Source organism: Homo sapiens, chromosome 11 (assembly GCF_000001405.40).
Source record: "Homo sapiens chromosome 11, GRCh38.p14 Primary Assembly".
Classification (NCBI taxonomy): domain Eukaryota; kingdom Metazoa; phylum Chordata; class Mammalia; order Primates; family Hominidae; genus Homo; species Homo sapiens.
This window is the reverse complement of record NC_000011.10, coordinates 134,801,487-134,804,054: the sequence shown is the minus strand read 5'-3', so window position 1 is coordinate 134,804,054 and position 2,568 is coordinate 134,801,487. Positions and strand designations below refer to the sequence as shown.

The 2,568-nt window shown below is 40.3% G+C and overlaps 1 annotated feature.

Annotated features, from left to right (window-relative positions):
• Positions 1,791-2,291: an enhancer, noted in NCBI's record as "H3K4me1 hESC enhancer chr11:134671658-134672158 (GRCh37/hg19 assembly coordinates)". NCBI's record gives its function as "activates a minimal SCP1, AML or CMV promoter by ChIP-STARR-seq in naive H9 embryonic stem cells {active_cell/tissue: H9 hESC(naive)}" and the evidence as "EXISTENCE:reporter gene assay evidence [ECO:0000049][PMID:30033119]".

Genomic DNA, 2,568 nt, shown 5'->3' with positions numbered 1-2,568 from the left:
CATCAACAACTGAGGAGCATCTTCGTCTGTAGTAATCAAGAAAGGGTGATACTGGACAAAAGACAGATCAATGAAACAGAAATGGAACCATGCAGATATGCTCATTTGAGTTTTTACTAAGTTGCAAAAGCAGCTACTGGAGGGAGGAGGGTCTTTCCAGCCAGTGATGCTTGACCAATAAACAGCATCGGGGAAAAATGAACCTCAACCTAAACCACACTCTTTACACAAAAATTACCTGAAAATGGATCATGAATAGAATTGTAAATTGAAAAACTATAAAAACTTTAGGAGAAAACAAAGAAAATTTTTAAAACCAAGAGCTTGGTAAAGAATTCTTAGATATGGCACCAGGACCCTGATCTGTTAAAAAAAATCAATAAATTGGACTTTATCAATATTTAAAACTTTTAATCTACAAGTGACCGTGTCAAAAGAAATAAAATACAACCTACAGGTTGTGAGAAAACATGTGTAAAACACATACATGACAGTGGACTACTATCCAGAGTATATAAGGAACTCTCTAAACTCACCATAAAAATAGAAACAGCTCAATTAACTAGTTAGCGAAAACATAGATATTTCACTGAAGAAGAGGTACAAATCAAAAATAAGTACATGAAAAGATGTTCAGTATAACTAGCCATCAGAGAAATGCAAATTCAGACCATAATGAGCTATCACTAAATACCCACCAAAAGAACAAAAATTAGCTACAATAACACTTGCTGCTGAGGATGTGATTTCTCATACATTGCTGGTGGGGTTATAACATGGTACTGTGGAGTACAGTTTGGAAATTAAAAAAAACTAACATATACTTACCATATAATCCAGCAATTGCACACCTGGAGAGAGAATTGAAAACCTATGTTCACACAAAACACAGAATGTAAGTGCTTATATTATATTAATTTGCAATAGTCAAACACTGAAAACTATCAAAATACCCTACAATAAGATAATGGTTAAACAAATTGTGGTACATCCGTACCATTACTGAGAATTACAAATAAAAGAAAGTTTTGATACATACAACCAGTTGGATGCCTCTCAGGGGCACAATTCTGAGTGAATAAAAGCCAATCTTTAAGGGTCACATAGAGATTCTATAACATTCTTGAAGTTATAAAAGTGTAGATATGGAGAAAAAATTAATGTTGATGAGGATTCGGGATTGTGGGGGGCAGGAGGCTGAATATGACCGTAAATGAATAAGACTAGAGAGATCACAAAGAGTGATGATGCAATGAGTCTACATCTTGATTCAGTGGCAATTACACAAATCTACACATATGATAAATGAACAGAGAACTATACGCACAGCATTCCAATGTTAATTTCTTGCTTTTTATATGGTGTGTAGTTGTATAAAATCCAACTTTTGAATAATACAGGGAAACTCTCTGGATTGTATTTTTGCCACTTCCTGTGAATCTATAATATTTCAAATTTTGTTAAAGATTAAAAATAGTCTTCTGTGAATCACTTATTTCGTGAGTCAGGTGGAGATCAACATCAGCACAAAGAATGAGCCTCCCTCGTCTTCGTGTACCTCCACGGACTTCACTCCCTTAACAAAGGCTGGTGGAATGACATTCTAAGCAAGTAACAGACAACAGCCTGCAGGCACCAGTGCCCTTCCAGCATCCTCTAGTGAGGAGCAGGAGATTCCAGACAAAAGAGAAGTCTGCTGCACACTAGCCACGGGTCTTCAGAGGAATGTGACACAGCACAACTGCCAGAGCTGGAGGAGGCTGTGTCACCGCACAGCAGCAAGCAGGCTGGAGCCTGTGGGGCTGAGGAGCTATGCAATGCGCTGACATGCAGGTTGATTGAAAGGCTTCATTCACAGGGTATTGTATAACCCAGTAAGGTACAGCAATGGAGACTCTGTTCAAATTGAAAATAGAGAAGAGCACTAGGGTCAGAGAAAAACTTTTCATCAGAAGGAAATGACATTCTTTGGTCCGTAGGAGCTGGGGGCCAGGGGATGAAACAATGAGGATAGACGGCCGCAAACATGCATTTCTCTTTGTATTTGCAGGTTGCTAATGAGCTCATGGCATTGCTGCTGTGTTTGTGTACAGATTGTGAATTTCTCAGTATCATATATGCTGTAATTGATTTTATCTGCCTGGGTCCACTTTTATTTGAGGGTATGCAAATCACATGCCCCAGACAAAAGCTCGTCTCCTTCTCCTCTTAGCCACCCCACCTCTCACATGTCCTCCACCACGTCTCTCTCCTCTCCCTCTCCTTTTCTTTCTCCCGTCTCTTGAGCTCATCCTCTTTTTTTTGCTTCCTGTCCAACCCCTTCCCCCACCCCACCCGCATCCCTCTCTTCCCCTCCCTCCCTTCCTCCTGCCCTGTTTCCTTCCCTTTCTCTGCCCTGACTTGCTGACTGGCCCATGTTCTCGAGTCCTCACTGCCTCAGCCTTCTCCCATTCTGGACCTGTAGGAAACATGGTCTTGTTGCTCCCATATCTCTTATTTTATAATCGTGTACCTCAAGCCAAAGAGGAGAACCAGGAAGCTTGAAAAGCACACGGGCATTTAGACTGG